The sequence below is a fragment of the Homo sapiens genome, chromosome 2, assembly GCF_000001405.40.
Source record: "Homo sapiens chromosome 2, GRCh38.p14 Primary Assembly".
NCBI classification, from domain to species: domain Eukaryota; kingdom Metazoa; phylum Chordata; class Mammalia; order Primates; family Hominidae; genus Homo; species Homo sapiens.
The window spans coordinates 158,984,582-159,005,029 of record NC_000002.12 but is presented as its reverse complement, the minus strand read 5'-3'; the positions used below and the strand labels follow the sequence as shown (position 1 = coordinate 159,005,029).

Here is a 20,448-nt window from a genome sequence, read left to right as displayed (position 1 = left end):
AGATAACTAGCCAGACCCATCCCTTTGTTTCGGCCCATCGCTTTATTTCTCGTAAGAAATGCATTTAGTTAATCTATAATCTATAGAAACAATGCTTATGACTGGCTTGCTGTCAATAAATATGTGGGTAAATCACTGTTCAGGGCTCTCAGCTCTGAAGGCTGTGAGACCCCTGATTTCCCACTCCACACCCTATATTTGTGTGTGTGTCTGTCTGTCTGTCTTTAATTCCTCTAGCACCCCTGGGTTAGGGTCTCCACAACTGAGCTGGTCTCGGCAAATATTGGTTTTTTTTGTTTGTTTGTTTGTTTTGTAAAGTTTTTTTTATTTCTACTGGGGAGGGAGGAGGATAAATAGAACTGTTTTCCAATTTGCTCTCCACTATATACACACATACCCACACACATACATAAACATACATACACCAAAAATACCCCAAACAAAAAACAAAAAAACCAGGAATTAAAAACCAAAACACCCTCAAACTGCACCAATACTTCATATTTTGACCAAAAAAAAATCCTGGGAGGAAGTGCAAAATGCAAAATCAAATGACTGAAAAATGCTGAACAAACAGCATTATTAATATAGAAAATATTTATATTACTGAACTAGTAACAGGTGATGTTCTCTGTGTCTGTAAAACTTTGGAACCACATAGCTGATTTGTTCAATCTAGTCCATGCCAGCTTCCAAAAACCAAACTTTTAGTTAGCTTCATTCTTTGATGCCTCATCAAAATTTTCTACAAGATCTGGAACATCATCATCTTCCTCATCAATGTCTTCTGGTTTTGGTGCTTTACTGTCCAAGACTTGCCGTGGGAACTGTTCAGCTAACTTCCTAAGGCTTGTTAAACTGTCAGCACCAAGCTGACTTAATATTCCAGGAAGCATTTCTGTGATTGGTTTGGCTTCTGCATGACCAGTAATTGCAAAGGTATTAGCAGAAAGGGAAGCTTGGACTTTGGGATTGTTGAAATGAATAACTGTCCCATCATCTTTAATCATGTTCACCTCTTCAATACCAGCTATATTATTCACAGCCAGTTTTTTTTAGAGAACTCTGAAGCTTTTTGTCATCAGCTGTGGCTGTTCTATGTACCACCTTCTTCTTTCTGCGAGCTGTATCCTTGCCCCCTATCTGGACCTGAGCCTGAAGTTTGGCTAACTTTTCTTGATTCATGCTGTTGGTAAATCTGAAGCAGGGAGGGTCCTCCAACACCAGCACGCGGCAAGAGCAAGATGGCTGCCTCAGCCGAGACAGAGAAAGACGACGACTGCGGCAGCGGCAGCTGGAGCAGATCCAACGTGATACAGCTGACCCCGCCTCTCCCTCTCCGAGGCAGCCTATCCCGGGAGCGCACATCTGAACTCCAACCCAAATATTGTTAATGAAGAGCTTCTGAAGGGAAAACATTATTTTCTGTGACTTCCACTTTATGCCTCTACCAGTTGTTAAGGAATCCAACCCATTAACTGTGTAGCCTCGGGCAGGCAATTTAACCTCTCTGTGCTTTAGAATCCTAATCTGCATGAAGTTCCTTTATTAGAGTGCCTAGTAAAAGCCAGGCACTGTTTCTGGCTGAGGGATATGGCAGTGAATAAAAGACACAATCCTGTTCCTAAGCATCCTGTTAGGTAATTCCAAGAAAGCACAGAAGGTAACTAGTCATAAGGTTAGCCATTACTATTTCCCAAAACAAAGGGCTACTTCGCTACCTCTCTTAACATTACCTTAGTCCTGTTTTGATTTTAAGGCAAATTCTACCTAGCTCCTGTTTCTTAGCTGGTGAAAAGGGGCAGAAAAGGGGACAGTAAAACAATCAATCTGAATTTGGCACCAGTGAGCACATATACCCGCTACCTTTCCTTGAAATAAACTATGAAAAGCTCCACAGATCCAGTCAGCTACAGGGGTTAAAAACCTATCACAGCCAGGAACAAAGTTCTGCAAACGACTTTTGATGGATAGCATCCCGCAGCACTCTGGATCCTCCTAGCACTTTCCAGCGATGCTGATGAAGGTCTATTTACACCTGGAGGTTACAGCTGACATACTGCTGCATGTCTGATAGCTGCAAGATTCAGCTGCAGTGCAACTTAATCCCTCATGATGTCACTTCCAGGCTGCCCTTATAGGACCTGCCATGAGACATCTTTTTATTTATTCAAAATTATTATATAATCACAGAACCACGCTCTCCATGGTCACCTCTATTACACAGAAAGCACTGCTCAGGCAGCCTGCTTTTAGCACAGATTGTAGAACCACCAGCAAGACAGTAAAAGAATCCTGCTGAATCTAAAGTAAACACATGAAGGTAACAGAAACTCTCGAGAGGGCATTTCCCTCCTCAGCAGCTCACAAACGCCTCACTAAACCCAAATATCTGAGACAAACCCACATCTGCACCCAGAGGATCACAAATACCACTGGCCACGCCTTAGAAGTTACAGGTTACAACCTCAAAATCTCTGTGAAGGAGTCAGATAAAATTTATTTCCTCATGTATGCATTTCATACCATTCTGCTAAAAACAAAGAAAATCTGTGGCAAAATATTTGCAGTTTGCTGATCATCTACAAAGCCAGGTAATTGGTCATGATTTACCCTCACCCTTGGCATTTGGTCTGTCAGCATTAGAAAGATATTCAGTCCTCCTCACTGCCACCCCCTCCCTACGTTCATGCACCTAAATTCACGATCAGCTTGCTGACTTCAGGCTCAATGGGCAGCCTGGGTCCCCTCGGGCAGGCCAGCAGGAAGAAAGGGCATTCAGGAGGAAGATGAGAAGAGGCACCCAGGCTGAACTCATGTCCACACTGTCCATACCGCCAGCCCCTCCGGCCGCAGGTCCCAGTCTGGGAAGAATCCTCTGCTGACAAGACTTTCTTTGGATCACACTGGCACACCCCACGCTGGGCTCTCCCACTTCTCCATAACCTCCAGCCCCTTTCTGAGAACAAGTTGGTGTCACTTGGACTTTTTGCCAGTTCCATGACAGCACATGCCCAGTCTGGACACTGGAGGATGGTCCTGTCCATCCGACTTCTCATTCCTTTGGTCTAGCTGCTCCTCTATCCCCAACCCTCCTCTTTTCACCCAGCATTTCCCTATCCCAGGTCCTCCCTCCATCAACAACCCCCTCTCCCTTCCCCCACAGCCTCTGGAACCTTCTGTCCACTGTTCAATTCCCTAACAATTACAAGCAAGGGCTTTGGAGTGTGAGGATCTGGTTGAGCCCAGCCCCTACCATTTCTGGATGTATGACCTTGGGCAAGTTGCCTAATCTGGTTAAACCTGAGATTCCTCATCTGTACAGCAGAGTTTACCTCATCTCTGAAAGTGAGGATTAAATGAAAATACACATAAAGCACTTAACAAAATCCCCAGCACACATTCAAATATTTAATAAGTGACAATGAACCAGGAAAGGGTTTCATAAATGGTAGTGATTATTACTCCCTCCCTCCACCACGTTTTTATTTTTCATTGTGATAAAATAGACATAAAATTTACCGTTTTAACCATTTTTAAGTATATAGTTCAGTAGCACTAAGCACGTCCTTCTGCAACCATCAGCACCATCCACCTATACAAGTTTTTTGTCTTCCCCAACTGAAACTCTGTACTCATTAAACACTAACTCCCCTATCTCTGCTTTTGACAGGGCTTCTCTCCCCTGGAGGCGCTGGCTCACCAGTGGCTCTGGGCAGGTGGAAAGACTGGACGTTCTACAGGCCATCTCTCTTCTAACCTCATGTAAAGATTCATCCCTCTTTGAGTCACTACTCACAGTCATACCACACTCTACCCCAATCCTCAGCCATCACCTACCTGTTTTTGATAACTTCACATGCACCAGGAAAAGGGGGCAGGGGGCCTTAGTTCACAATTTTCTCTTCCACTCTTTCTCCTGAGAGACGTTCCTGCCCAGCAGTCAGCTCCTAAAGGAACAAGAGCAGAGGAGACAACCTGGGTTAGAAGCTCCGCTCCACCATTTATTAACTCCATGACCCTGAGCAATTACTTCACCTCTCTGGGCCTCAGCTGCCTCACCTGTAAATGGCAATAAATAAGAGTACCTATTTGTGGGGCTGGGTTGAATGAATAGTCCAAAGCACTTAGGGCAGTGTCCAGCGCAGGGTCAGTGATGGCAGATGTTCTCATTACGCCTGCACTTAAGCTCTGATCCCTGGCTCTTGACTCTGGCCAGCCATTTCCAGGGTCACACCTCAGTCAGAAGCCGTATTTCCATACTCTTGCTTCATGACCACAGCCTCCTATCCTTCCGGCTCGCACACCCCCTCCCTCCTGAGGTCCTTGCTCTCGGATGTCCCTTGAGTATGTCCCCTTCTTCATTCCCACAGTGTGGACTCCACCACCAATCACCCCCTTGCCGCACCCTCAATTTTCTGCAACCCTCCTCTTTAGCCAAACCCAAGGGAACTAATAACACAACTCAGCTTGTCCTCACCTATACCCTGGGCCCGAAAGACCACAGAAATCACATCACTGTGCAGAAAGACGCCACTGCACTTGAATTCTCTGATCCAAAAGACCCTGAATATTCTAAAAGGCCCTCCTCCCACTCCCCGCAACCACTGTTTCAAACTTTTGTCATTCTCCTCCCTCCTACTCTAGCAAATGCCCTTTCTTCCCATTTTACTCAGGTAACAGAAGCCAGCAGGCTTGACGTGCTAACACCCCAGCTTCCCGCCCTGGTGCCTCGCCTACCCACTTACCCACATGCACCTGCCTCGGCTTTTCCTCTTCACTCCTGTTCCAAGCCAACCTTCTTCACAGCTCCCTTCCACACCCCACGCTCCATCCACTTACCCACACACACCACCCGGTTCACCTTTCATCCTTGGCTAGGGTGGTCCCCCCTACCCCAACCCAACTCCCACCTCACCTGGCTACTCCCTTGAAACGCAGCTCAAGAATCACCTCCTGCTGGGCATGGAGGCCCTTGCCTGTAATCCTAGTGATTTCAGAGGCTGAGGGAGGATCGCTTGAGCCCAGGAGTTAGAGACCAGCCTGGGCAACACAGTGAGATTCCATCTCAAGAAAGGAAAATTACCTCCTCCTTGAACCCCCTGCCCCAGCTTCTCTAATACTCCACTCATACCTATGTAAACTTTACTTCGCTAATTTTTGATTGTCTGTCTCCCTGAGAACAGAGGCTATATTGTCCATTGCGAATCAAAGTGCCAGTAAGTGTTGAATAAATAAAAGGATGAGTACAGTGGACCTACTTTCTGTTCTGAAATGTTTCACCAATTGACTCATCATCAGCCACTTACATATGATGTCGGACATTTTCTCCCTCGATCTAGACTGTGAAGCATCCCCTTCCCTTGCCCTTCCAGAACAAATATCCCTTTGATGAAAGAAAAAAACCAGAAACAAAACCACTACTTCCTCCTCAACAAAAACAGAACGCCCAAAATAGCAAGGCAGTTTATGAAAAATATCCAGCTGACACTGGCTTAGGTAGGGATCAATGCAGTTGTCCCAGCTTAAGAGGAGAAAGGGAAGTTTACCTTGGATGGCTATTTGAGGGAGGCAATAATATTCACATGTTAACCAAGAAAGTTGATCAAAATAATAAACCTCCCTTGCTATTTATAAAGCAAGGGAAGAAAAGGAAATGGGTAACTCCATGGAAATTTCCTTCCTTTGTCTAGTTTTGCTTCTGGTATATGGCTACCACACTAATTTCTCGATACCAATTTAGGACTATTTAATTTATAGGAAGTCATTTTGAAGGGCCCCAGGGAGCTGCAGATGGTACCTCGGGGGCCCATCTGTTTAAGGATGAAAGCTTTGTGCACACCATTACATCACTCTGACCTCCTCAGAAACTTCCTATCTGACAAAATCTAGATGTTTGCTCTGTCAACAAGATATTTGTGCTTGTCCCCAGCCTCAGGCTTTGGTTCCTGATTAGTTTTAAAATCATTATGCACCCCAACTGAATAGGGCTACTGTTAGCAGCTGTAAGGTCTTCTTCTGGGCAAATCCCCAAGTCTGTGGCCTTCAGGGAGTGATTTCTGTCCTTTCTGCATAATTGCACTCTCCTGATTGATGAGCTGATCAGTGTTCCTACCCCTTCCTGAGCTAAACCCTCTCTTCCCGCTCTATTTATTTTCCCAAGAGATCAGAGGGGAGGGGGGAATGGCATGGTGAGGCAGGCCTTTGGCTCTCCCCAAATAAATGCTCAGGCACTCTACATTATTACAACTTTAGTAGCTCAGTTCTGTCCCAGAGCTGACTCACCATCCCTTCTCGCCATCCTTAAAGCCGCCCTTGTGCCAGGAAACAGCTGCTATTTTCTGGATCTTCACAGATCCCATGATGCCCCAGCACCCACAAGTACAGATCCACGTCAGTCCAGTGGGTCACCCAATCACACACATCTGTGCTCACCTCGGAGCATGCCTACATCACCTACATCCTCTCCAATTTCCCACACGCCTCGAGGCTCAACAGGGCACAATCACATAGCGTCAACTGTGCTGTGGCTGGTAGGTGCTGCACAACAACCTTGGCAGAGAATGTAGAAATTACATTTTAAACAAATTTTTGTTGGGGGTAGGGGCTGGGGATCGCATGTACTGATGTTTGCAATTTACTTTGAAATACTTTTTGAAATAAGATGGTGTGATGGGTAGATATGTAATAAAGCCCAGATTGCATGATCTTAATTATAGAATCTAGGTGGGGGGTATGTCAGTATTCACTGTACATTTCTTTTAACTTTTTTCTTTTTTTTTTTGAGACAGGGTCTCACTCTGTCCCCCAGGCTGGAGTGCAGTGGCACAATCATGACTCACTGGAACCTCGATGTGCCCACCTCAGCCTCCCAAGTAGCTGGAACTACAGGCGCACACCACCACACCCAGCTAAGTTTTAAATTTTATTTTTCGTAGACATGGGGTCTTGCTACGTTGCACAGGTTGGTCTCAAACTCCTGGCCTCAAGCAATTCTCCCAAAGTGAAACTTTTCTTCATGTTTGAACATGGTTTACTGCTGGTTGTGTTAAACTTTGATTACTTGGTCAAGGTAGTGCTGGCAGGTTTCTCCACTGTAAATTTACTTTTTCCCCACCTTTCCATACTCTGTCTCTTAGAAGTGAGTCACTAAATTCAGTCCACACTCAAGGTGTAGGGAGGGCTAAGGCCTAGCTAGTGAACGGGGAGGTATCTGCAAACATTACTCGAAATTCTTCTATAAGGAAGATGTCTCTTCTCCCAGTATACAGTTATGTGCAGGTATATTTATTTTATATCTTGGACTATAATGCAGTACATCATATTATTTATTTTGTTGCTCAAATTATTCCAGCTTTGGCTATTAGGAGCTCTTTGAGGTTGGCTGGTATGGCCTTCAGACATGCCCACATCCTTTGTTTCGTGAGCACTTCCTTATTTTCTGACAATGCAAGATGCCCCAGACCTATAATTATCCATTTCTTCAAGGAGTCCTGGTTACTGTGATTAGAGAATGGAATTTAGGAACCAAGATACTGGGGTGTTATTGTTTCTAAGCTCTTTCAGTGAACAGATCTAGGAAATACATGTGTGTCCTAATCCATGAATACACACTAAAATATAATTATTTCTGTATCTATGTCAAGCTAAACCTAAGTTCACATTGAGGTTTCTGACTTTAATACAGTCCCACAAGGTTCGTTCTAGCTTTCCTTCCTTGCATACCTTTGACTTTCCTCTCCAGCTGTGGGAAACTTGGCTCTCTCCATCCACCACCCCTTCACTATTTGTTTAACCCTTGTACATATATAAAGCAGCGTTGGAACTGTCAACCTGTGTCCCATGAGAAACTTTACCCACTAGAGTACAGCGTTTATGCAGTTCTTTTTGTAGTTTTTATAGATTATAGTCAAAACACCATTTTCCAAAGCTACCCAGGTCCATGTCTTTCTGTCCCCACTCTCTTAAGTGACCATGTCATGCAACTGTAAAGCAGGTAGATTCTTTTCCCACAGTCTGTAAAGCAGGTAGATTTTTTTTTTTTTTTTGCCACAGTCTGCATCTCAGTGCCCCACTCCCAACACCCCACACATGGAGAGGTATGAACAGCTGCTGGTTGATGTTTTATAAATTTGCATACACTAAAGTTCTTTCATGTCTATTTTATCTAAATAATTAAAGTCTATTTACTTAAGTAGCTGACATCCCTTCCTATTGGTATACGCATTGTTTTATCCTTAGTACTACAATACTTATGTCTACGTGTATCCCTGACACCTAGCTCAGTTCTGGACCACGAAGTAAATTACTCAGATACTAATAAGATGAACATATTCCACAAATTTATTGAAAGAAACTACTATGTTTAGTAATTCAACACAGTTAATTGCTGGAAGTCATTCAATAAAACTAGAATAATGTTCACTGCAGTGTTATTTAAAATTCAGTAATAAGTAAATAGTTGAAAAAATTATGTTACACCTACAGGCTGGAAAATGAATTACATGCAATCACTAGAAATCATTTCTAGAAGAATGCATATTGATATAATACACACTGCGTGTGTACAAAAATATCAAGTTATACAGCAAAAAGTATGGCATTTATTTAACATATGTCTGTGAAAAGAAAAACAGTTAAGGAAGGCATATACCAAGTTTTGTTTTTGTTTTGAGACAGGCTGTCACTGTCACCCAGGCTGAAGTACAGTGGTGAGATCTCGGCTCACTGCAGCCTCAACCTCCTAGGCTCAAGTGATCCTTCCACCTCAGCCTCACGAGTGGCTGGGACTACAGGCACATGCCACCACACCCAGCTATCAAATAATTTTAGTATTTTTTGCAGACTTGGGGGGTCTTACTATGTTGCCCAGGCTGGTCTCGAACTCCTGGGCTCAAACAGTCCTCCCACCTTGGCCTCCCAAAGTGCTGGGATTTTAGGTGTGGGTCACCATGTCCAGCCATCAAGTTATTTTTAAATTACTTTTTTCATTTCTTTCTAAAAGTAACAGACAGAAGACTGCTGTGTGGAAAACCTTACAGAGAATTCTTCCAAGACAGAGTGTTGGATCTGACAAAGAAGAAACAGAATCAGTTTCTGTGGACCAGGCAGAGTGCACCCACGGCTGAGCCAGGCCAGAGATGCACAGGGCACGGCAGGCTGGCTGGTGGATGCCCTCGGGTCGGCTGTAATCCGAGATGAGCATCAAAAAGGCCAAGGCAGTAGGTAAGGCAGTGGGTGTCAGTGCTAATATGTTTAATACAGACAGAAGGGTGGAATTGAGAGCTGTCTGGGGAAGCATCCTGAGAAATGTAGGGTTTAAAGAACAGGAAAGATTTAAATAGAGGCAGGGAGGAGGAAGGGAGGCAAAATGAATGGAGACAGGTATAAGACTGCCCCTCTGTCTGGAAGGTTTCTCATTATCCCATTCTGTAAAAACCCAGGGGAGATCTTAAGCAATGACAGCCATGGGGAGCCTCAGTTTGAAGTTTCCAAGAGTCCCGCCCTCGGGTAATGTGCTACAGGGAGGGAAAGGATTGCCTAATGGGATCTGGTTAGCCTCTAGCACCAGATAACCTCAAGTGGCTGTTAACAGGAGCCTAGCTCAGGGTTTTCAAAGATTAACGTTTTCACATTGGAATTTACACTCCACTGGTATAAAAAGTGCCTTTTACCAGAGAATAACACAAACACATGGTAACCATCCATTACACAGGAAGTTCAATGGCAATATAATAACCAACTCTCAGTTTCTAGCAATTTTCAATACACAAAACTGAGCGCCCCCCCAGCCAGCCACCTTCAAGACTAGATCACATATGTAAATACAGAAAGAGCTACAGGACAACCTTATGCAAACACAGGGAATCCCCAGCTCACTGTAACAGGTGGGGGAGAATTAGTATTTGCTGAACACTTAACTAGACAAGGCATAGGTATCTTACACCCATTATCTCCTTTAACCCTCAAAACAAACAAGGCAAAGATCAGCCCCATAAATGGCTAGTCTGGAAATGGCAAAAATTTAAATTTATACTCAGCTCTGTCCAGCTCGAAGCCTTCCATGTTTCCACTTTGGAGTGATGTTTCAACAAACTCAAAACAGGCTTAAATACACCTTTAGTATCACTGGTTTAAAAAGAAGAAATCAGATCAGTTCTTTCTCCAAACAGTAGTTATTTTGTGAGATAATTCATACATGATGTCAAGATTGCAACTTTAAAACCTAAAGCATATTCTCAAATCTGAATGCAGTAAAGTTAACCATTTATGACTTGGCAAAATAGTATTACAATAACCACAAATAAATCAACTTGATTACAAAGTTTTAAAAAGTTACAAATCAAAAATAACCTTTTGCAACATGAAGATCTCAAATTGAGACACGAACATCTAGATTTGATTCTTTTCATTCTCAATGACAACTAATCTACTTTGTACTCTTAAAATATATCACCCTAGGCAGGTGCGGTGGCTCACATCTGTAATCCCAGCACTTGGGGAAGCCAAGGGAGGAAGGATGGCTTGAGCCTAAGCACTGTAGACCAGCCTAGGCAAGTAGACATCCCATATCTACAAAAAATAAATAAAAGATTAGCAGGGTTTGGTAGCACTTGCCTGTAGTCCTAGCTACTCAGGAGGCAGAGGCTGGAAAATTGCTTGACCCCAGGAGTTGGAGGCTGCAGTGAGCTATGCACCACTGCACTACAGCCTGGGCAACAGTGCAAGACCTTGTCTCTAAAAAATATAAAGAAAAAATAGTAAAATAAAATAGATCACTCTATTCCTATATATCCCTTCTCTGCTCCTACGCACCACCTCTCACCCCAAAAAGAGATTCTTGCTTCTATGGTTAATTGCAAAACAATTCTATGATTCAGAAACCAGGAAATAAAAAAGATTAGGATCCGTTGATAGTTATAATCTCCATTACCCTGAGATAGAAATCCCCCCCTGGAAAGTGAAAATCAGATATGTGTAGTGCACTAGAGATACTAGGGCACTAGTGCATGGTCCAAACAATGAGAAAGGTTTTTCATATTAAAATGATTTAAATTTTTAAGTACTCTTTAAATGACCAGAGTGATAGTGTCAAATGAACACTGTAGATATTGGCCAAACCTCAGAACATACATTCATACAGAAGGCATTCAAATGCTATTTGTTATGGAATAAAGGCAATTCAGGACAAAAGGTAATGTCTTCTCTTCAGACAAACCAGGAGATGACTTTAGAAATTAACTTTTTAAAAATTTAACAAGAAAATTTAAGGGTTGAAAGTTCGAAGAAGAGAAAGTTCAGGGGAGAGAATTCAGGACAAAAGGTAATGTCTTCTCTTGAGACAAACCAGAAGATGGCTTTAGAAATTAACTTTTAAAAAATTTAACAAAAAAATTTAAGAGTTGAAAGTTCAAGGGAGAGAAAGCCGACCCCCATGTTTTATTTCTTAAGAACAGAGGATTTCCCATTCCCACTGCTTCACTTGACTAGCCTTAAAAAAAATAAAAAATAAAGGCGGGCACGGTATTTCATGCCAGATCACTTGAGCACACAAGTTCAAAACCAGCCTGGGCAACATGGTGAAACCCTGTCTCTACAAAAAATACAAAAATTAGCCAGGTGTGCTGGCATGCATCTATAATCTCAGCAACTCAGGAGGCTGAGGTGGAAGGATCGCTTGAGCCTAGGAGGCTCAAGTAAGCTGATCGTGCCATTGCACTCCTGCCTGACAGAACGAGATCCCACCTCCAAAACAAACAAAACAGAACAAAAAACAAAACAAAACACTGCCAAGTGCTTTGCTGGGGTTAGGAGAACTGAACCAAAGTTTGAGTTCACCCACTTCCACATAGCTGCTGTGTGACCGTTTAATCTGACTCCTTTCCTTGGCTGAAAACTGCTCATATTTACCTACACCTTAAAACGCTGTTATAAAGCCCAGAAGGAACATCTATTCCTTCAGACATACTTGCTAAATATTTTCTCTCTGCCCTGATTCTAATGACAAAGAGGTCATACCAGCCCCAAGAGTCTAGGAAGAGATGAGCATGAAGGCAGTAAACTAACGCGGCTGTGATGGAGAACACACGAGTAAAGGTGCAAGTGAAGCACAGTGAAGTAATCACAATGTTCCACAAAACAGCAGCTATTTAAAAAGCCAAGGAGGAGAACCACACAACACCTGGGGAAATGCATGAAATATATTACACAGTCCGGGAGCGGTGGCTCATGCCTGTAATCCCAGCACTTTGGGAAGCCGAGGCGGGTGGATCACGAGGTCAGGAGATCGAGACCATCCTGGCTAACACGGTGAAACCCTGTCTCTACTAAAAATACAAAAAAAAAAAAAAAAAAAAAAAATTAGCTGGGCATGGTGGTGGGCGCCTGTAGTCCCAGCTACTCAGGAGGCTGAGGCAGGAGAATGGCATGAACCCTGGAGGCAGAACTTGTAGTGAGCCAAGATCGCGCCACTACACTCCAGCCTGGGCGACAGGGCAAGACTCCGTCTCAAAAAAAGAAATATATTACACAGAAAAGCCTATAAGTACATGTATACCTTAGCTACAGCTATACATTTTTAAGGCATAGGCAAAGAACAGAAGGGAAGGAAGGAAGAGAATAAAATCATGGCTGCTGCACTTAAACACTTTCTTTTTTTTTTTTTTGAGACAGGGTATCAGTCTGTAGCCCAGGATGGAGTGCAGTGGTGTGATCACAGCTCACTGCAGCCTCTACCTCCCTGGGCTCAAGCGATCCACCCACCTCAGCCTCCGGAGTAGATGAGATTGCAGGTGCACACCACCATGCCCATCTAATTTTTGTATTTTTTCTAGAGATGAGGTCTCACCTGTGTTGCCCAGGCTGGTCTCAAACTCCTGGGTTCAAGCGATCTGCCTGTCTCAGCCTCCCAAAGTGCTGGGATTACAGACATGAGCCACCACACCCAGCCTAAACGTGTATTACTCTTTTCTCTCGCTTTCCAAACTTTACATAACATCACTTAACATTTATAATTCTTAAAATATTTTAATTGATGTGAGAGCACAGATGGAAGAGTGATTAATTTTGACTGAAATAATGTATGTGAAAGGTGAAAACTCTAAAAACCCCCATGAATGAATGCTGTTATTGTCAGAGCATGAAATAATCTAGCATTATGCATAATACTATGACACTGTAGTAGCACAGGTTATTTTTATGTTCTGCCACTTGGTTTCCAGCTCACCTGAAAATGTATAGTGTTAGTCATTTCTTTACAATATTTTCTTTCTTTCTTTCTTTTTTGAGACAGAGTCTCACTCTGTCGCCCAGGCTGGAGTGCAGTGGTGCGATATCAGCTCACTGCAAGCTCCGCCTCCCAGGTTCACGCCATTCTCCCGCCTCAGCCTCCCAGGACTACAGGCCCCCGCCACCACGCCTGGCTAATTTTTTTGTATTTTTAGTAGAGATGGGGTTTCATCATGTTAGCCAGGATGGTCTCAATCTCCTGACCTCGTGATCCACCCACCTCGGCCTCCCAAAGTGCTGGGATTACAGACGTGAGCCACCCTCCCCAGCCTCTTATATATACTTCTAAAGATACTCTATGCATATATATTTTTTGTTAAATAATATTCTTGGAAAATTTTCCTTAAGAGCACACATAAACCTACCTCATTCTTTTAACATCTGCATTCCACTCTATCGTATGGATGTACCAAAATTTACTTAATCAGACCGTGCACTGTAAAAATGCATGAGTATGTTATTAACACTATTTATATATTATTTTTCCTTGTATTTTTATTTTCTTTCCTAGCAAATTCTACATCTTCCTATCAAAACAGGAAATTTACATGTAAGTATTATTAATCAGTAACAGTGTATTTTAATCCCTAAACTACCTCTGATCTCTAGCCCTGCTGTTTTTTCTACTTTTTTTTTTTTTTTTTTTTTTTTGACACAGGATCTGGCTCTGTCACCCAGGTTGGAGTGCAGTGGCGCAATCTCAGCTCACCACAACCTCCACCTCGCTGGCTCAAGCAATCCTCCCAGGCTCAAGCAATCCTCCCACCTCAGCCTCCTCACTAGCTGGGACTGGAGCCGCCCGCCACCATGCCCATATAATTTTTGTATTTTTTGTAGAGACGAGGGTTTGCCATGTTGCCCAGGCTGTTCTCAAACTCCTGAGCTCAAGCAATCCGCCCACCCTGGCCTCCCAAAGAGCTGGGATTACAGGTGTGAGCCACAGCACTCAGCCCATAACCCTGAATTCTTCAGCAAGGTACACAAGGCCCACCAGCAAGTTCACACTCACCAGGCTCTCTAGGCTCATTTCCTAGGAATTCCTACTTCACACTGTTCCATCCAGCCAACCCCCAACTGCATGTAGTCCTCCTAAATACTCCATCCATTGCTCATGCTGTTGCTTTGGCTACAACCCATCCCACCTTGCTTGCTTAAGTGAATTCTTACTCAATCCCTCAAGACAGGGCTTAGGCATAACCTCCTCCCAGAAGGCTCTCCCAACCCTCCAGGCAGAGGAAATGCTCCTGTGCTCTGCTCCAGCCTCAACCTGGGTCTTGGCACTTAACCTCCTCAGGATGAATTCATGTGTCAGCCTAGCCCATTAGATTTTAAGTTCCTCCAGGATAGAAACCACATCTTATTCATCAAACTGCCTACAGTTTGATACAATTTAGTTCCTGCTGAATCAAACAAGAAGGGAACTTCTGAACATCTATTATGTGCTAGGAGCTACTCTAAAAGTACTGTACAAACATTATTTCTCACCTTGTAAAATGATCCCCATTTTGGCCGGGTGCTGTGGCTCACGCCTGTAATCCCAGCACTTTGGGAGGCTGAGGCGGGCAGATCACGAGGTCAGGCGGGCAGATCACGAGGTCAGGAGTGCAAGACCAGCCTGGCCAACATAGTGAAACCCCATCTCTACTAAAAATACAAAAAATTAGCCAGGCGTGGTGGCAGGGGCCTGTAACCCCAGCTACTCAGGAGGCTGAGGCAGGAGAATCGCTTGAACCCGGGAGGTGGAGGTTGCAGTGAACCGAGATTGTATCACTGCACACCAGCCCCTGTGACAGTGCGAGAATCCGTCTCCAAAAAAAAAAAAAATCCCCATTTTACAGATGAAGAAACTAAGGCCGTGAAGAAATTTATCCAAGGGCATTAGAGGAGGGCTGGAATTTGAAACCAAGTCTACTTTACTCCAGAATCACTGATCTTTCCATTATGCTATTCTGATGCATGTTTTGATGCTGAAAGCTAAGTCAAACATGCAGTCCTAAGGGACTTGACATCTTCATAATTATTATGGATACTCTAAGGGCACGACAGTCTCCCAAAAAGTCAGTCAAAAGCAATCTAAAATGTAGAACCAAACTGGCCGAAAACAAAAAAGATTCTTTTTTTTTTTTTTTTTTTGAGACTGAGTCTTGCTCTGTTGCCTAAGCTGGAATGCAGTGGCACAATCATAGCTCAGTGCAGCCTCGATCTTGCAGGCTCAAGTGATTCTCCCACCTCAGCCTTCCAAGTGGCTGGGACTATAGGCATGAGCCACCACGTTCAGCTGATTTTTTTTTTTAACTTTTAGTAGAGATGAGGTCTCACTACGTTGCCAGGCTGCTCTCAAACTCCTGAGCTCAAGCAATCCTCCCACCTCAGCCTCCCACAGTGCTGGGACTGCAGGCGTGAGCCACTGTGCCTGGCCTGAATTGCTAAACTTAAATGCCTGTTCCCAAATCATGGTGGAGCCAGGTGAGATCCCAAAGTACTGAAATTATAGGCATGAGCGACCTTGCCCAGCACCCCCCAAAAAAGTATTATAAACAAGCAAATTCTGCCAACAGCATCCACAAATCTGCATTTAGCATCCTCAGGGGGTATCTTTGAGGGGCCATTCAAAATGAACTAGACGTGCAGTCTCAGCAGCTGCAATAGTGAGGCTTATTTCCCCCAGTGTGCTCTCCCTGTGAACACTGTCAGTTATGGTCCACATTTCTCTCCCCACCCTGCAACTCCACAGTCCCCATATCACTCATTAAAACTGACCTTTGGACCAGGACCCCTAAAGGATCTACAAAATGACCAATTTTAGTCAGATACAGTCGCCCCAGGAAATGCCTATTAGGAAGCCGATAGTGAGAGTGGGCAAGGAGTGGGTGAGGAGGGCAGCACCGCAGGAGGTGGCAGGGGTCCAGTCGACCTGCCATGAGACCTGGAGGTAGGTACAGAGCCTCACCTGCAAAAACCCCATGAGGTAGGAAGAAAGAATGCCTGCTCTCTCTTAAGGCCTTCAAGAGGGCTGAATTAGACTAGCACTTAGCACAGAGCCTGGCATAGAGTGGGGGCTCAATTGGCTCCTGTTAAGTGACTGAGTAAACCAACCAGTGAGCAAGCCAACTTTCTCCTGTGTCCTCCCCAACACGATGGGGACTAAGGAAAAGAAGCTGGGAGCTGGGAAGCCCTGTCATTGCAACAGGAAGTAGTAACGGCATTTAGCAAAGGTGGAGGGGAAAATAAAGGAAGATGCTCCTCTCTCCCACACATCGGAAAAATGAACTAATCAGCAGCAAGCAGTTAATGAACCCAAATCTTGCTCCCGGGAGAGAAAGTAAAAATTATCCCAAGGGTAACAAGATACCAACAAAAAAGACACACAAGCTGAAAACAAAACGAAAACACTTTTTCTTTTTTTTTTTTTTTTTTGGGACAGGGTCTTGCCTGTCACCCAGGCTGGAGTACAGTGGCCCGATCTCAGCTCACTGCAACCTCCACCTCCCGGGGTTCAAGCAAGTCTCTCGGCCTCAGCCTCCTGAGTAGCTGGGATTACAGGCGCCCACCACCACGACCGGCTAATTTTTGTACTTTTTAATAGAGACGGGGGTTTCACCATGTTGGCCAGGCTGGTCTTGAACTCCTGACCTCAGGTGATCTGCCCACCACAGCCTCCCAAAGTGCTGGGATTACACTTGTGAGCCACCACGCCCGGCCACTTTTTCTTGATAACCATCAACCACAACCACACAAAAATCCCCTCCAACTGTGGAGGAAAATTAGAGTAAGGTAGGTAATGTAAAGCAATGCACACGGTCAACCCTAAATACACTCTCTAGCTGAATAAGTAGGCACTTAATGTGTGCTGAATGAACCAGGCAGGTGCCCAGCCTTCACCTTCCCGCCCAAGATTCAGAGTGGTACTAGCTCAAGTCCAGGTGTTCTGACTTTATCCACTCCATTCCCAAAACTACCTTCCCACATTCCAAATTCACAGAAAACAGCTCAGGGAGGCTGTGTAACCTGTCCAGGGTCATAGTGGGGCAAAGGGACTAAACTGGGACCTTATCCCAGTCTGTCTGGCTTCAAAGCTTCTACTCCTGAGAAAAAGACATGCATGACAGAGGGGAAGGGGAACCTAGGCTGGTTAGGACTAATTATAAGCAAATGGTCTAATGAATGAGTGATCAGGTTTACAACCCAGATTTCAAGGAATTGAGTACTTTTTTTGAGACAGGGTCTCGCTCTGTTGTACAGGCTGGAGTGCAGTGGCGTGATCATAGCTCACTGTAGCCTTGACCTTCTGGGCTCAAGCGATCCTCCTACCCCCCAGCCACCCAAGTAGCTGGAACTACAGGTGTGCACCACCACAGCCGGCTAATTTTTGTATTTTTTGTAGAGATGGGGTTTTGCCATGTTGCCCAGGCTGGTCTTGAACTCCTAAGCTCAAGTGATCCACCCACCTCAGCCTCCCAAACTGCTGGGATCACAGGCATGAGCCACCATACCCAGCCTTCAGTGACTCTTTTTTTTTTTTTTTTTTTGGAGATGAGTCTTGCTCTGTCACCCAGGCTGGAGTGCAGTGGCGCAATCTCGGCTCACTGCAGCCTCCGACTCTTGGGTTCAAGCGATTCTCCTGCCTCAGCCTCCTGAGTAACTAGTATCACAGGCACCCACAATGACGCCTGACCAATTTTTGTATTTTTTTTTTTTTTTAAGTAGAGACAGGGTTTCCCCAGGTTGGCAAACCAAGAACCTCAGGCTATCACTCCTCACTCTCCACGTCCCAGGTTCCCTCCTCCAGCCTCTTTTTAATACATGAGAAAAGTACTCAGAATCAAGCTTCACTAGAAATCTCTTGCCAAAGGTCCACTTAAAACAACAGAACAAACCTAATTTTGAGGACTTGTTACTTTTGAGTGTTAATCCAAAAAACTAAAAAGCATCATTGGCAGAATTAAGTATGAATGTACACAGGTTCCTAAAAACAAGCAATTTTCTCAGATGTTGCTTTTTACCAGAGATCAACATCCTATTCTTTGAGGAGTTATCAAAAGCTCCCTGAAGGAAGTGAAATTACAAGACAGCCTAGGCCATTGGGAAAGCCAAACATTTCTCAAATGTGAGAACCTGTCTCACTCTCAACCCAGGAGCTTGACATGAGTGCAGATCCCCAAAACCCACCACAGGCCTACTGAAGCACCTCCTGGGGGCAGGGCCTGGAAATCTGCATTCCAAATTAAGTGCCCCAGATGATGCTTAGGCATTAACCATGCCCTCCTACAAATTCTAAGTCCATGCCTACCTGGAGGTATATCATTAGCTTAAAAGAGTTTCCACAGGAATGCCAAATTTCCAACCACCGACTGGGCATTTCCAACTGGGTATCCCAGATGGCCCCCAAACTCTGCCCCTCCCCTCCTGAGAGAGTGCTGTTATAGTATTGTTCATCATCCATACCTTGTTGCCACACCTGGAAACTCTCTACCTTCAGTAAGCTGCTAAGTATTCCTTTTCATCCCAGTCCAAAAATCATACACCATGTGCACTCCTTCTTCATGTTCTCATTCCGTCTTGTTAAGTGAAATTGATAGGGAGCCACTGATTTGGACTGAGCTCTTGCACTAGGATCCAACAGACCAACCCAAATGGAGTCATTCATGCAAAAGTTCCACGTCACCAAACCAAAACCTAAGCTGTTTACTTGTAAGATCGGACCCTCCAAGCAAACAGGAGAGAAATGATAGTCAAATCTCCAAACAGGCCAGTTTTCAAAAAGCACAAGATTCACGACAACCAATCAAAGGGGGCCCAGTCAGCTGGGTGCGGTCGCTCATGCTTATAATCGCAGCACTTTGAGAGGCCAAGGCAGGCAGATCGCAAGGTCAGGAGTTTCAGACCAGCCTGGCCACGTGGTGAAACCCAGTCTCTACTAAAAATACAAAAATTAGCTGGGCGTGGTGGCACATGCCTGTAATCCCAGCTACTTGGGAGGCTGAGGCAGGAGAATTGCTTGAACCCGGGAGGTGGAGGCTGTAGTGAACCGAGATCACGCCACTGCACTCCAGCCTGGGCAACAAAGCGAGACTCTGTCTTGGAAGAAAAGGGAAAAAAAAGGTGGGCCCAGTCAACCAGAGCTGGCAAAAATAAGGAAATCCCCTCTGCTTTAACCCACACAAGGAAAGTAACCTGAAGTAATAATCTGAGGTTAACCAGTCCACCTTTGGCACTATGCAATCTCTGTGCTCCTGCTCAAGCTGCCTTACAAAACCCGCTGTTCAGCCATGCCCTGCAGAGCGCCTGCCTATTTTGTAGTCTGGGTGCTGCCTAGTTCATGGACCCCTAAAAAACAACAATTAGATCTTTAAAGCTTCATTTGTTGAAATTTTGTTCTTTGACATCTTGTTCTAAAAACCATGGTGGCACAGGACAGTAAACCCAAGTTCAATCCTGGCTGAACTAGGTTACTTTGAGCTTGCTTCCTTTTCTGCAAAATGAGGATGACAACAGCACCCTATGAAAAGTTTTTCTGTGAAGATTACATGAGCTAATGCACCTTCACCTTAAGTGCACACTCAAAGGTATTCAACTGGCATTAGTTCTCTTCCTCCCACTAACTCAGGCCTCAAACATCATCTCTCACCTGACCTACTTCAAAAGCCTCCTAACAGAGAGCTCTGCAGCCCATCTGTCCCCACGCCAGTCTCTCCTCCACACCACCGCTGCCAAAGCTTTTCTCCAACACACAGATCTGATTACATCATCTCCCTGCTGAAAAACCTTTGACAGCTATCACTTGCTTACAGGATCAAGTCCACACTTCTTAGCCTGGCATGCAAGGCCTTTGCAATCTGGCTCTCTTCTCCCTGCCACTGTACCCAAATGCCAAGCACCGTCCGTTCTAGTAACAACACCCCAAACACAACTTGTGTTTTCATGCCTCCCAGCCTCTGCTTCTTACGCTCCTTTTCTCTAGAAAGCCTCTCACCCTCTTTCCCACCTGGCAAAGTCACCTTCACCTCCTCCCCCTCCTCCCTGAAGCTTTCCCCAGCCACTGTCAACTCCTCCTCCTCCCCCTACTCCTCCTCCTCCTGCACTCCCTAACACCTTGCAGTGGTACTGTGTGTGCACTTGTCTCCTCAGATTGAGACACAGCACTGGGCCTCAAACCCTGAA

The 20,448-nt window shown here is 44.7% G+C and overlaps 1 protein-coding gene and 1 pseudogene across 37 annotated transcripts in view, besides 2 other annotated features; both read right to left on the bottom strand.

Annotated features, from left to right (window-relative positions):
• The window catches only part of TANC1 (tetratricopeptide repeat, ankyrin repeat and coiled-coil containing 1), a 264,020-nt gene that overhangs the window by 227,630 nt on the left and 15,942 nt on the right, over window positions 1-20,448 (bottom strand). For 26 of the 37 annotated variants that reach the window (NR_146421.2, NM_001350065.2, XM_047446107.1 and 23 more), the window contains exon 2: window positions 3,841-3,950. The exons of the other annotated variants lie outside the window; for them this stretch is intronic. The gene's annotated coding sequence lies outside the window, so the exon portion shown is untranslated. The remainder of the gene's footprint in view (window positions 1-3,840; window positions 3,951-20,448) is intronic. 37 annotated transcript variants of the gene reach the window in all.
• On the bottom strand, window positions 312-1,380 carry BTF3L4P2 (basic transcription factor 3 like 4 pseudogene 2; annotated as a pseudogene).
• Window positions 9,330-9,987: an enhancer, noted in NCBI's record as "NANOG-H3K4me1 hESC enhancer chr2:159851555-159852212 (GRCh37/hg19 assembly coordinates)". NCBI's record gives its function as "activates a minimal SCP1, AML or CMV promoter by ChIP-STARR-seq in naive H9 embryonic stem cells {active_cell/tissue: H9 hESC(naive)}" and the evidence as "EXISTENCE:reporter gene assay evidence [ECO:0000049][PMID:30033119]".
• Window positions 13,185-13,284: an enhancer, noted in NCBI's record as "active region_16681". NCBI's record gives its function as "activates an Ori minimal core promoter by ATAC-STARR-seq in GM12878 lymphoblastoid cells {active_cell/tissue: GM12878}" and the evidence as "EXISTENCE:reporter gene assay evidence [ECO:0000049][PMID:35858748]".